Source organism: Homo sapiens, chromosome 3 (genome assembly GCF_000001405.40).
Source record: "Homo sapiens chromosome 3, GRCh38.p14 Primary Assembly".
In the NCBI taxonomy this organism is placed as follows: Eukaryota; Metazoa; Chordata; class Mammalia; order Primates; family Hominidae; genus Homo; species Homo sapiens.
The window spans coordinates 137,914,668-137,929,536 of record NC_000003.12 but is presented as its reverse complement, the minus strand read 5'-3'; the positions used below and the strand labels follow the sequence as shown (position 1 = coordinate 137,929,536).

Genomic DNA, 14,869 nt, shown 5'->3' with positions numbered 1-14,869 from the left:
ATTCTCATGTAAGTACTTGATGCCCAGTGAAAGCGTGCTACATTTGCTCCTATGTTTGTTCACGATAATTAGCCCACACAATGGGCCTCTTTATCTCCCAAAGCATAATATAATCACAAACAACATTTTACTAAAGTCCTTGTACAGCTTGGCAAGAAGGAAAACAGAGGGGAGACCTATTTTTTTTAATTGGGCAGCCCCCTTTCACTGCCACCCACCAGGGACTTCAGGTGTGATGTGACTGGGGGTTGGGGGGAACTTCAGATGGCTGGAAGGCTGGAAGACTGTGAGCAAAGGTGTGAATCAGGGACTTTACAGGACGCAGGGAAGAATTTAATTGTTTGGAGGATTTGGTGTAGGAGATAAAGATGGAAAAGCAGGTTGAGGTTATACTGTGTAAGGTGCTGAATTGGGTGGACAGCGAGTGAATCATTAAGTGGCACAGTTGGTGCTATGATTTAGAGATTAGTTTGATGATGGTATGCAGATTCATGTAATCTGTTACCATTTCAACTCCAGCAACAGAATGGTGATCCCTGTTGGAGGAGTTTTTATAACTCTGCAGATAAGACTAAAAATGCACAGTCTTCCATCTCAGGCTGCTTAGCAACTCTTCTATGTGCCGTCAGTCTGCTCCCCATAGTAAACTATCCATTTCCCCATTAAAAACTATCTCCTATAGCCCTTGGAAACTTTTATTCAGTAGGTCTGTAAAAGCTCCTTAATTGATTCTGATATGGACTTCTCATTAAAACCAGAAGGAAAGGTGAAAGCTGTGGGAAAACAAAGCAAACAAACAAGCAAAAAAACAAACAAAAAAACCCCCCAAAAAACAAAAACAAACAAACAAAAACCCTCAAACAACCCAAACATGAGCAAGGGAATGACTCTGGCTTGCATTCAAGAAAGTTCACTTAAGATGGAGCGTGAAGAAGGGATCGGGAGTAAGTGTGAGGGACAATACCTGTGGCAGGGAGAGGCAAGAGAGAGATGAGGCTCTGGGATCACACATTGCCAATGGAGATGGAGGGGAGAGAATAAATGGACAACGTGTTTAGAAGATGAAATCTACAGGATGTAGATTGTGGGTTGGATATGAAGGTTGAGAGAGCAAGAGTAATCTCCCAGATTTCTGACTTGAGTGACTGGTGAATGGTGGTACCATTAGGAAACTCAAGATGAAGAACAGTTTGGGAGGAAGATGAGTTATTTCTGGAATTTGTAGAAAGATAGAATTGTCTTCAGGTTCTACTTACATTAAAAAATTTTAATGCTTGAAGACAATCTGGTAATTCTGAAGACAATCTGCTGTGGCTGCCAAAGTAGTTTTGATACAAAATTGCTTGTTTCGTTGAGTTGTCACTTCTTAGGCACCTCTGTGGTGGAAGTGCTCCAACTCAACTCTTCTCCAAAGTGGACATGCTTTGACATTGTTCTTTTAAAAGCTTCTAAACACACTATCTCCATGTCCAAGCCTTCTAGGTTGATTTGGAAAGAACCAAATCTTTCCATATGTCTCACACATATTTTTGTGTGTTATCACCTTCCATGCGTAAAATCTTGGTGTTGATGCTTCATTTATGATTCCTTATCTTGGAATAAGGTATTTAAGGTAATAAGGTATTTAAGATACCTTATCTTGGTGTTGATGCTTCATTTATGATTCTGGTGCTGGCTTAATGGCTTGACTGTATGGGATGTAAATACTTATATCATGAAGCTAGAGGAAACATATAGGTCTATGTAATTCTTTGTTCTTAAACCTGGAACATGAAACAATAGCTTCTCTATTCCTGCCTTGGCCAAAGGCGTGTTGTACTCCCTTATCTGCTTCAACTGCCTCATGGGGGACTGATATTTAATAAGCCACATTTTACTGGGGGGTAGAATGACTGTATTTCAATAGCAGAACAAGGCCTGCTGTTTCTTCCTAACTGCCCAAGTGCAACTGACTCACTTTGTCCTTCTCCTGTGGTGTCAAGCTAGAGGCTGGCTAGAAGAATCCATACAGTTTCCTGGGAAATGAAATTACAACTTGTTCTGGGCTCTTAGATATCACTACAGGAATATCTGGGACTATGGGTCCCAAGGTCCGGGTCTTTGGTTGAAAGTGGGAAATGTCACCTTGGTCTCATGCCACAAGCTATGTTCCCCACTCCAGTTTTGGCCAGAAAGCCCTGTGTTGGGAGATTATGGGTACTGATTAGTAAAATCAGTACTTCTTCCCTTTCAAGTAGTGTCCTGTGTGTGCTCCGTGCTCAGGAAGAGGATATATTTGGGTATCTCAAACCCCCAAAGGCCTGAATGTGTGTGACTGTCTTGGAAAGCACAGGACTAAGTGAGATTATGATATATGGCGCAGCCTGTCTCACACTTCTCTAATGTTTTTGAATATTCACACTTAACCCCCAGCTCTAAATCCAGCCTTATGTTATCCTGTGTCCAAGGGGTTGGATTTCTTGTGCTTGAAAAAAATACCATTTGCCATGCCTAGGTCTGTAATCTCCTTGATGCTTCTTGCTGTTCACCTACTGCCTGCTAAAGTTTGGTCCTCATCCCAGTTAGACTGGCACTCAAGTTCTGAACTCTGGCTTGGCCTCAGTTTACAGTGCTCACTCCTTTGAGCTGACCCTATTTCAATTATTTCTGGATTTAAGTGCCCTCTGCTTGCAGCAGGATGGGTGACCTCTGGCTTTGCTCTTGTGATTAGAAAGCAGATCTGTCCCTGGACCTGGGTGTCCTCATAGACCTTCCATTTGCACCCTGCTTCCAGCAGACAAGCCTAGCTTGTGGCCACTAAAGAACAACCCTCAGAGTCTGCTTCATTCTTCAGCCTATGGAAGGGGACACTCTGGTCCTGAGGAAGAAGAGAGATTGAATTGATGATCTTGACCTTAAGTGGTAGCATAAAGAGACTTAGAACTGGAATAAGAAAGAATTTCCAGTCATTAGTTGTTCACTTGTCAAATGTTTACCTAGCATAGGCATTTTGTCAGATATGGTATATGTCATTAGTGCTGTGAGGTGCAATGAGGCAGAAAGCTCCCAGTGGAGTAGGAAATACTTTCTCTATAACCTGATAAATCATCGGATAGGACTAAGGTAGAGGCCTAAGGGAGAAGGTGCACCTCATCCAGTCTTGGAGTTGGAGGGCATGGTGTTGGTCAAAACCAAGTTGAGAAGAATTGAGTAAGAGTTAGATGAAGAGAGGAAGGAAGGGATTCTGGGCAGAGGGAACAGCATGGGCAAAGCAATAGAGGTGAATTTGGTACAAGAATGGGTGACTGGGGGAAGTCATGAGATGTTCCGCTCTGGACAGCTTTAAGAAAATATCGTATCTGACCTACCTGGGACATGTGTGTGGAATGTGTGATGCCCAAAGCCGGAGTAAGTCTCACATAATTTCTCAGGGTCACTGTAAAACCTGAAGATTATGCTCAGCATTTTTTCCCTGACACCTAAGTTTTCTAAACTCCTTGAGCTTCTCAGAAAGTTAGATGACAAATCCAACACATCAGCCACTTGGCCGCGGGTAGTGACTTCAGCATTTTTGATGAGCACTGAATTTCCCACAATGAAAGCAAAACTCCACCTGCTTTCTGCTGCTTCTCTCCTAAAAGGGTGGACCCTGTAAACAAATGTTCTGGTTGCATCCTTCATTTCTGTGGATGCATGAAACACATTGTATTTCTTATCTGCCATTTCTTAGTAAGAAGACACCCTTCCTCCTTCCCAGCTCTGTGTTGGAGCCCATTAATTAGAATAAGCTTTATTTAGCAAGGTTAGAATTCCTTCTTTTCTGCTCCTCTTCTCCTGCTACACCTCTCTTGGTTTCTGAAAGCAAGGACAGGTCACTCGCTTTTGTCATGAGCATTTGGATGAAATGTTCTGATGAATACACATATGTGTATACACAAAGGCATGAAAACCCATTTTTAATTGGAAGTGTTTTGTTTTCCTTGGGTTTTTAACTTTAAATGGAGCTCACACTCCCCCTCTTAGGCTAGTCTTCTGGGCTGCTTTATTTCTCTGTGTCCATGCTTTCATGGTGCAGTATAATAGCTTTTGTTTCAGAAGTACAGGGCAGAAGGACCCCGAATGCTGGAGGTCTGCATTATATCCAAAACAGTAGATTTGGATGGCAAAGCAGAGGTTGGGGGAAGGTGGGAGCGAGTGTTTTCCATTGGTGAGCTGGAGTGCTTCTAGGAACATGGGCACAATGGGCGCCATTCTGAGGACAGAACAGGCTCTGGCAGCAGAGGCGCTGACACACTCACTCACATCCCACACAGTGGGCCCTGTGCTGCAACCTTGCCCAACACAATGGCACCTACTTCTCGAGGTGATTGTTACAGGACAAAAAGAACTTTGTTTGCTGTGTATCCACTGAGCCTTGTGTGTTAACATTTCTTTTTTTAAAAAAAATAAATTTTGTTTTCCTGTTCTTTTCTTTATTTCTCTGTCCAAAGTGAATAGACTACAGTGAATTTCAGCCTTGCTTCCAGAATCAGGAAATCCAATGGAGAACCTGAAATGGTTGGTGGGAAAAGAAGAGAGTGGATGGAGGTAAAAAAAATTAAAGACGCTCTCAATTGTTGCATCTCTTTAATGATATTATTAATGAGGTAAGGGAAACCATAGGGCAGGTGGCCATCTGAGGCCTGGAACCCACGAGGAGTGAGGAGCAATAAGGGCCTGGGCTTCTGGATCCACACTAATGAGTGGTTAATGGCTCAGGGCAGGGCCCCGCCGAGGGAGTTGCTCCTCTACAGTTGAGAACCTAAGCCCAGAAATCCTTACTGTCTCCTTCTGGAGATACTCCCCTGCTATGGAGACAAATTGACTTTGTGTTAGGATCAGTACTTGTGGAAATGCCAATGCCATTAGGCTTATTTACATTTATTTTTTCAAATTGTATTGCTTATTTAAAAATGTTTACTCTCATAATTTGTTTTCTTTTAGTTTGTTTTCAATCAGGCAGCAGTACAAAGCCCCCTGTTATGTTTTGAATTAGTGTTTTTCTGGAAGTTGGCTTGGTTAGGGTAGTTTTTAGTTTACCAGACAAAACGATCTATGGTCACCTAACCAGCATCAAGAAAACACTATTTGGAGCCAAGCATTGCAACAAGACCTTGAGAACTAGTCTAACTAACATTTTGATCAAAATCTTCCGGATTTTGATGCGGTAGTTTCATGTAGCATAGTTACAGTCAATTAGTGGGTCAGTTCAATGGAAAAATAAGGCCACTGGTTATTCCACCCTTCTTTCAAGCCCTAGTTCATATCCTGCCTTCTCTAAGGGACATTTTTTAACTTCTCCAGCCCCATGGTGTACTGTCATCTTCTTGAGGGTTCTCCTTAAAGGAAATTAAAGATGGCATAAGTTTTTCCCTAAAGTGAAGAAACATGAAGACATAACGAAAAGAGGAATTAAAGTAAAGACTGTTTAGTCAGTACCAGAGTTCCCTATCCTCCTTATTGTCCCTGAGGAGATTTGCCAAAGCCTTAGACTTATATTAATAAGAACTCTAGATCCAATCTGATTAATTCTGATCACAGACAAGCTAATTTGTCTTAGTGTAGCTGCTTTCTCAGAAGGAAAATCACAAAACAATTTAAAAAAATTTAGTTGCTCCAACTAGTTGTACCCAAAATAACCTAGGACCCATACAGAGTCCTAGGTTATTTTGGGTATAATTCTCAAGTATAAGATAGAATGTCCAGCACTCAAAAGCCTGTTGTTTCCTCCTCAATGCTTTACTGGGAAGTGGAGAAGTTATGTGATAGGGCCTTTATGAGAGTCTTTAGGTTTAGAAAGACTGGTTTTGGCTGTGGCCATAATTACCTGAGAGATTATTATGGTTTTCTCTTTAGATATCTTTTTTTTTTTTAATAAAAGGACCATTTGTTAAAATATATAATCACAGTAACTATATCTAGTGTATTGAGACAGGCTTCCTTTCTGGGCTTAATCTGTAACCATTAAGTAAGCAATATAGTGTTGGAGTGAAGAGCGGGCTCCTGGATTTGAATCCCAGTTCTCTCTCCAGTAGCTATGTGACCTTAGGCAAATTAGCTATCATCAGGGCTTTACATCCAGGGTTTTACATTTCCTATCTTTGAAATGGGGATAATGATAGTGTAAGGGGTAGTTGTGGAATCAAATGTGAAGCACTTAAAAGGGTGCCTGCAACCTAGTAAGTAAGCTTCGACACATGTTAAGTGCTGTGAATGCAGATCAGATAGGCATCAAAAGCCCCTAAACAAGTCTTTTTTTTCATTTTCATATGTTTTAATATTTCTTTAGTGAATTAAATCATACAATTATGTTTTATATAATTTCCTTTGTTGTATTTATGAGTAATATAGATTTTTATGGATTTGGGTTTTGAGTCTTCTATAGCTTTCAATTTCTCTGTAATCCTTTTAATTTTTAAAAAACTTATTCCTCTTCCTTGTATTCACTTTAAAAGCCTGCCATTGACATATATGAGTGACTTCTTTTAGCAGTATCTGTTTTCCTTTATTTTATCTCCCAGTGTGGTCTCTTCTCTTAAGTGATTTTGTTTTACTTTCTCCTCTTGAAATATTTTACTTTCATTCTTGTTTCTTTGTTTTGAAATTTTATTTAACTAATATTTGTAAGTATTTTGTAATCCATTCATTCTAAAATTATTGGATAATTTTTCTTTTTTTACTTTCCAACTTTTATTTAAGTTCAAGGGGTACATGTGCAGGTTTGTTACATGGGCCGATTGCATGTTGTGGAGGGTTGGTGTACAGATAACTCTCATCCAGGTAATCTGCATAACACCCAATAGATAGTTTTTCAGTCCTTACCCTTCTCCTACTCTGCACCATCAGGTAGGCCATGGTGTCTATTGTTCTCTTTGTTGTGTCCATGTGTACTTGATGCCTAAACAAGTCTTCTTAATGTTCCTTCTTGCTGTTGATGATTTTCCTTCACCCCAAATCACCAGTTAGTTACAAAAAGACAACATAGTTCGCTCTTGTAGCCTTTTCTGTGGCCAGGAAGGTTGGCTGCTTTCTTTTATTTCCTTGCTCGTGGATGATGCAGGAGGGGTAATTCTAGTCCACCAGTAACTGAGCTACTTATTCCTGCGACCACTTTTTCCAAACAGAGAAGGATTTCTTGGTCACTTTACTAATAAGCTACCTTCTAATTTCTGGTCAATCCATTATTTTAATAACAAAGCTTACATTTGCATGTTAAACATTTCACTACAGTCCTGAATCACAGATTTGGCTCAGAAGTTAAAAAAAAAAGCTAAATAAAATATATAAATACCTGGCATCATAATAATTTATAAATGTTTTATTATGATGACTTTTTAGCTAATGCAAATAGTCTCTTTTATGGAATCAGTTTGAACATGGGGATTCTGGTCAAGGATAGAATTCCTGCCCATCCTCCCTCAAAAGAAATGTGTAATATTAATCTAAAAAAAGGGTGTGAATGCATATTTATAAGATATATAAAAAAGCTACACATTAATTTTAATGAAACATCAAAGCAAAATATGAAATATAGTAAAAACTTTATACATATAAGCAAAGGGTAAGTACACTTAGGTGATGGGGTTGAGGAAGAGAAACAGAACACATCTGAGAAAGCTGAGTGACAGTCTGTGGGTGAGACTGGACTTGTGGAGCTGCCAGTAATGGAAAAGAGGCTGCTTGAAGGACAGGAGAAGGGAGAGAATGTGCCCATAAGATGCTCCAGACCAAAGGTTGAGAGATGCTCCAGTCCTTCCATGCTCCTGATTCAGGCTGACTACAGGTGATGTCACCAAAGTTAATCACCTGGAAATTCCTTTCTAGGGTCTCTTTCTTAACTCTACTATGACAGCAGAATTAAAAGGGATGGTATAGACCTAAATGAAAGGTTTCAGGCATTTATAGAACCATCCTTAGGAGATCTTGGTGGATCTGAATGTAACAGCACAGTGGCAAAGAGGCAAATGGATCTACCATTCTAAATAACAGTTACACCTTTGACACATTATTTACACCCTTTTTAGCTTCAGTTCTCTCATCTATAAACTGGGAATAACAGTTGCAACTACTTCCCAGAATTATTGAGAGGATGGTTCCAGAGCCTATAGCTCAGTGTCTGACATGCAGAAAGAGCTCAATAAATATTTATCAATTGCCATCATCATCATCATCATCAAATAGAAGAACCAAACTGTGAGCATCTTTATGGCTTAATGCATTGTATATTATTAATATTTAACACATTTAATCTAGAACTCCTTGACCCTCTACTTGGTACTTTGCCATTCCTATGCCCTACCAAGTGAGAACACAAGGCTGGTGGTGGACATTTCTGCCTCGATCTTTTGAAAATACTTTTCCTTTGAATACCAATAAATTAGGCTCATATTTGAAATGAAAATATTGTCAGATAAATTCTGTAAAAACTTTAGGCACTGAGTCTTGGTCAAGAGTGGACCTGCACGCCAGCCCTAGCCAAATGAACCATCTTTTACCCAAGAAAGGTTGATGAGTTGATGAGATATATATCATGTTGGTTTCTAAGTCCTAGAGGCCATCAAAGGTATCTTGATGTTAAAGATATCACTATTTTAATGATCTCTGCTGAAGAGTATTAAAAAAAAAGCTGTGCTTTCAGACCTTAAGACTTATTGCTTGTATTTTCACAGCTTTCTTAAAGTAAAAAGGGGTGTTGTGGAAAATGATAAAATTTATCATTTATAGCGAAATATTAATGTACCAGCAGGAGATTCGATGAGGCCATCTATCTATGAGCATTCAGACTTCAAAGGAAACATAAACATGAAATTAATGGTTTGTCTAGTGTAAGAGACAAATAAATGCAAATGTGGGCTCATTAATATCAAGTGGATGACTTCTTGGTTTATGGGGTTTGGATTGATTTTGTCAAAGGGCAATAGATTTATTTTAAAAAGTCTTCGAAATTTAGCATCTATACACCCATTATTGAGAGAAATAAAACTCACAGCACTCTGGACAGCCTCTCTTCCTCCTCCTCCTTCCCCCCATCCTAGATGTTGCTTTACTGAGATAAAGTTCTTACATTAGGACTTACTTTCACACTGAAATATGTCCCTTGTAGGAACTGCTATAAACGTCAGCATTTTCCGCAGCATTAGTTTATGGGCAGAGTGAATTTTAATGGCATCATAATCTCGTGGCAATCAATTGCGGTGCTTGGGGGAAAAAAAGCTCCGGGGGTGTCCATTAAATGGGCTTTGCATCACTTTTAATGCTCCCAAATCTTGAAGTTTCTCCATGTCTTCCCTGTTTGTCTATGGACAAAATAGTTTTTCTCCCCTTCTCCCCCATTTTAGGTTGAAGAAGAGTTAAACACTTGTATTTACCATTTAATTCTCTGACAAGGAAAAGGCCTTGTCTTTTATCTTTCACTTGAATGAGGGCATGAATCTGTTGGCTCTGATAGAGTATGAGAAACCAAGGCAGGAGTTTTAGTGGGTTTTTAGCTCTTTCCAGACTGGCAAATGCTCTGTTGTGAAATGTAGCTGTTGTAGTTGTCAAGTTACCCCAAGTGGAGTGGTCTAGGTGCTGTGAAGGTACCCATACGCAGTGGCTCCCACTCTTTCTGAGCCTGTTCTCTGTGATGTCCATGTCTATCTCTACCTCCAATTCCAATGTGGTTTCCATATCTATTTCTATATATCACATACATGAATGTGCAACACAGATAGCATATGGGTTATCATGATTATTTAAAGTGAGTTTTCCATTTTCGGTCTTATCTTTTTGCTCAGTTTTTCACCTTCTAAAGATAACGTGGATTACATATCTAAAACTCTGTTCTGAGTTTTTCAGGTTAACTGTATTCATATTTCTTAACCATTTTGTGACTCTTCCTCCAAAATCTCTGACCCTTCTTTAAGATTTATATGCACGACAAACTAATTTGAAAAAATAAAATGTTAATGACTTGGTTCTATAGTTGGTTCTCCACAAAACTTGAAAGTGATGGAAATAATAACACTCTCTGAGAGTTAAATTGGAAAGTTAACATATGATGAACAAGAACAAAGATATGCAAGGTAACCAGAAAGACGAGTAGGTTCTGAGGTCACACTAAACCTGGTTCAGTGTGTTTATTTATTAATGATCATTAAATGTGTCAATTCGGTGATCAGCTACAAGAGTGGAGAAAAAAGAATACCACCGAAACAAAAGTAGGTGTTCTCATTCCAGTCCCATCTGTGGGAGAAAAATTGTAGCCAAATGATAGAGACAATTTTTACTGTGAAATGGCTGCATCAGCATACATCCGTTAGGGCCATTTGTGAAAGCCACTGTTTAGAATGTCTTAGCATTTGCAAATCCCCTTCTCTGAGAATCTGTTTCACCCACTCACAAGCCTGGGCTTGGCCAGAGTTCATTGCACCAAGATAGGACCTCTGATCCAAGTTCATCTCATTGGAATTTGGCTCCTGCAAATTTGGATGGTGATTCTAGATAGTCTCAACTGACCCCTTCAGTTGTGGATATAAAATTCAGTAGCCTTGAGGTGATTGTGTTTGGTCAGGAGCATGCTTAATTAGTAAAAATGACTCAGCAGAAAGAAAGAGAAAGATGAAAAAGGGATATTAAATGAGAAGTAGAGACACTAGGGTTGGGAGAGAGATGGTAGAGGCAGAGCTTGGGATCCTGAGGCTTTTCAGTTTTATTCCTAATGAAGCCAGGCTGTACTATCTACCTTAGAGATACCGCAGTTCCTTATAAATACTCCCCCTCTTAGTTTAACTGGTTAAGGGACCTTTGGTACCCGACGAGGGAGAGGCCATTTGATCTGTCTACATAACTGCCTTAAGGGTCTTCACTGCTCAAGCAGACTCTGATTATCACCGGGTCTCCAGTTAGAGCCTGCTTTTAGGGAGAAGATGAGCTCTTTATGCTGACATGAGCTTTCCATTTTGGGCTCAAGAAAGCTTATTGTGCACACCTCTTCCAAGCTTTATGTTCAACTGCAGAGTATACATACATTTGTGTGGACCCTTGGATTTTTTTTCAGCCTCTACTCATTACTCAGTTCCAAAGCCACTTCCACATTTTTAGGAACTTGTTATAGCTGTACTTCACTTCTCGGTACCAAAATTTGTTTTAGTCACCTTGGGTTGCTATAACAAAATGCCAGAGACTGGGTGGCTTAAACAAGAGACATTTATTTCTCCCCATTCTGGAGGCTGGGAAGTCTAAGATCAAGTGCGGGCCACTTCTGTTCCTGATGAGGGCCCTCTTCCTGGCTTGCAGATCTCTGCCTTCTCCCAGTTGGAAAAACAGCACAATAGATTTTTAACAAAGGGGCCAAGATGACTCAATGAAATCAAGAAATGTTTTCCAACAAATAGTGCTGGAACAATTGAATATCCATTTGTAAAAACATAAAATTCAGCCTGTACTTCACACCATATATAATACTTAAATTATAGTCCTAAATGTAAAACCAAAAACTATACCACTTCTAAGAAAATATAGGAGAAATTCTTTGTGATCTTTGTTTAGGCAAATAATTTTTAGATAGGACACAAAAAGTAGGAATCATAAGAGAAAAATTCAATAAATTAGATTTCATCAAAATTAAAACATATGCTATTCAAAAGACAATGTTAACAAAATAAAAAGCCACTGACTGAGAGAAAATATTTGTGAAACACATATCTGATGAAGGATTTAGATCCAGAATATAAAAAAACCTTATAAATTGATAATAAAAAACCAATCTTTTAAAGAATAGGTGAAATGTTTGAATAATTACTTCACAAAGACAATATGCTCAATAGCATCGCTCATTAGGGATATGCTAATTAAATCCACAGTGAGATTCTGGAAAAGGTAAAATTATAAAGACAGAAAACAGATCAGAACTTGGGATGGAGAGAAGGGTTGAAAACAAAGGGACAGTGCAAAGGAATGTTTTTGATGATTGAACTATTGTGTATCTTCATGTGGTGGTTACAAGAATATATGAATTTTCTTCACAGAATTGGAAAAAACTACTTTAAACTTCATTTGGAACCAGAAAAGAGGCCGCATAGCCAAGACAATCCTGGGCAAGAAGAACAAAACTGGAGGCATCACGCTACCTGATTTCAAACTATACTACAAGGCTACAGTAACCAAAACAGCATGGTACTGGTACCAAAACAGATATATAGACCAATGGAACAGAACAGAGGCATCAGAAATAACTCCACACAGCTACAACCATCTGATCTTTGACAAACCTGATGCACACAAGCAATGGGGAAAAGATTCCCTTTTAATAAGTGGTGCTGGGAAAACTGGCTAGCCATAAGCAGAAAACTGAAACTGGACCCCTTCCTTACGCCTTTTACAAAAATCAACTCAAGATGGATTAAAGACTTAAACATAAGACCTAAAACCATAAAAATCCTAGAAACTGGACCCCTTCCTTACACCTTTTACGAAAATCAACTCAAGATGGATTAAAGACTTAAACATAAGACCTAAAACCATAAAAATCCTAGAAGAAAACCTGGGCAGTACCATTCAGGACATAGGCGTGGACAAACACTTCATGTCTAAAACACCAAAAGCAATGGCAACAAAAGCCAAAATTAACAAACAGGATCTGATTAAATTAAAGAGCTTCTGCACAGCAAAAGAAACTATCATCAGAGTGAACAGGCAACCTACAGAATGGGAGAAAATTTTTGCAATCCATCCATCAGACAAAGGGCTAATATCCAGAATCTACAAATAACTTAAACAAATTTACAAGAAAAAAGCAAACAACCCCATCAAAAAGTGGGCAAAGGATATGAACAGACACTTCTCAAAAGAAGACATTTTTACAGCCAACAAATATATGAAAAACTGCTCATCATCAGTGGTCATTAGAGAAATGCAAATCGAAACCACAATGAGATACCATCTCATGCCAGTTAGAATGGCGATCATTAAAAAGTCAGGAAACAACAGATGCTGGAGAGGTTGTGGAAAAATAGGAATGCTTTTACACTGTTGGTGGGAGTGTAAATTAGTTCAACCATTGTGGAAGACAGTGTGGCGATTCCTCAAGGATCTAGAACTGGAAATAACCATTTGGCCCAGTAATCCCATTACTGGATATATACCCAAAGGATTATAAATCATTCTACAATAAAGACACATGCACATGTATGTTTATTGAGGCACTATTCACAATAGCAAAGACTTGGAACCAACCCCAATGTCCATCAGTGATAGACTGGATTAAAAAATGTGGCACATATATACTATGGAATATACTACGCAGCCTTAAAAAAGGATGAGTTCATGTGCTTTGCAGGGAGATGGATGAAGCTGGAAACCATCATTCTCAGCAAACTATCACAAGATCAGAAAGTCAAACACCGCATGTTCTCACTCGTAAGTGGGAGTTGAACAAGGAGATCATGTGGACACAGGGAGGGGAATATCACACACCAGGGCCTGTTGGGGGTTGGGTGGCTAGGGGAGGGATAACATTAGGAGAAATACCTAATGTAGGTGATGAGTTGATGGGTGCAGCAAACTACCAGGGCACGTGTATACTTATGTAACAAAACTGCACGTTCTGCACATGTAACCCAGAACTTAAAATATAATAATAATAATAATAATAATAATAAAAGAATATATGAATTTGCCAAAACTCAAATAACTGTACACCAAAAACAGTGAATATTGCTGTAAATGAAAGAATGAATAATTTAAAAACACATGATGAGATGCCTCTAGGCACTTATTAGAATGACTAAACTGAAATTTTCAAAATAGCCAGCAAAAAACTGAAAATATCTGACATACCAACTGTTGATAAAGATGTATAATTGGAATGCTCATATATTGGTAGCAAAACTTAGGCAAGTAATTTAGTAATGTCTAGACCTTCACTATCTGATAGGATAGCCACTAGCCACATGTGGCTATTGAGCACTGGGAATGTGTTGAGCTAAGTTGAGCTATAAGTATAAAATACACAATAATTTTCAAACAATTAGTACAAAAAACAAAATATAGGCTGGACATGGTGGCTCAAGTCTGTAATCCCAGCACTTTGGGGGGCCAAGACGGGAAGATCATTTGAACACAGGAGTTTTAGACCAGCCTGGGCAATATAGTGAGACCCTGTCACTACAAAAAATACAAAAATTAGCAGGCCCTGGTGGTGCACACCTGCTCAGGAGGCTGAGGTAGGAGGATAGCTTGAGCCTAGGAGGTCAAGGCTTCAGTCATCTGTGATTGCTCCACTGCACTCCAGCCTGAGTGACAGAGCAAGAGCCAATCTCAAAAAAAGTATTACATCGATAATTTTTAAATTCTGTTATATTTTGAAATAATATTTTGAATATATTTTATTAAAATTTATTATTAAACATGTTTTAAAAAAACAAAAAAATAAAAAATAGCCAGCAATACCTAGTTTTCAGGATACTAAGCATACACTGTTGATGGGAATGGAAAAGGCATAGGCTCTTTGGGAGACAGTTTGACAGTTCCTTATAAAATTCAAATGTACATTTACTATGTGACCTAGTTATCTACTCCTGTATATTTATCCAAGAGAAATGAAAACATGAAGACCTGTATACAAATATTTGTTGCAGCTTTATTTATAATCAGCAAAACCTGAAAGAAACCCAGATATCCACTGGTATAAACACACTGCATAGACAGAACTGCACAAACACACGGGGATGTGTCCATACAAACCAATGTTACTAGCAATAAAAATGAGTGAACTGTTGAGAGACGCAACACGAATGAATTCCAAAAGCGTTATGCTAAGTGAAAGTAGTCAAACAAAGTCCTATGTTCTGTGCAATTCTATTTATATAAG

General features: G+C 38.8%; 1 annotated feature.

Moving 5' to 3' along the window:
- Positions 8,271-9,468: an enhancer, noted in NCBI's record as "VISTA enhancer hs843". NCBI's record gives its function as "enhancer in: branchial arch[3/4] | nose[3/4]" and the evidence as "EXISTENCE:transgenic organism evidence [ECO:0001131][PMID:17130149]".